Raw genomic sequence first — 547 nt, forward strand, 5'->3', positions numbered from 1 at the left:
GTGTTATTGTCTTGCTTTGGTTTGTTTATATGCTTATTTATTCATTCATTCATTTAATCACTTTTTTGTATAAATGTAAGGGGTACAAATGCAGTTTTGTTCCATGGATATATTGCATAATGGAGAAGTCTAGGCTTTCAGTTTATCCATCACCAGAATAGTGTACATTGTGCCCTTTAAGTAATTTCTCATCCCTCACCATGCCTCCCCACTCTCCCACCCTTGCAAGTCTCCAGTGTCTGTCATTCCACATTCTATGTCCATGTGTACACATTATTTAGCTCCTACTTATACATGAGAACAGGCAGTATTTGACTTTCTGTTTCTGCATTGTTTCGCTTATGATAATGGCCTCCAATTCCATCCATGTTGCTGCAAAGACATAATTTCATTCTTTTTTATGGCTGAATAGTATTTCATTATATATATATATATATATAAAAATATAACATTTTATTTATTCACTCATCCGTTGATGGACACTTAGGTTGATTCTGTGTCTTTGCTATTATGAATAGTGCTGTGATAAACATAAAAATGCAGTATC

This window comes from Homo sapiens, chromosome 11 (assembly GCF_000001405.40).
Source record: "Homo sapiens chromosome 11, GRCh38.p14 Primary Assembly".
NCBI lineage: Eukaryota > Metazoa > Chordata > Mammalia > Primates > Hominidae > Homo > Homo sapiens.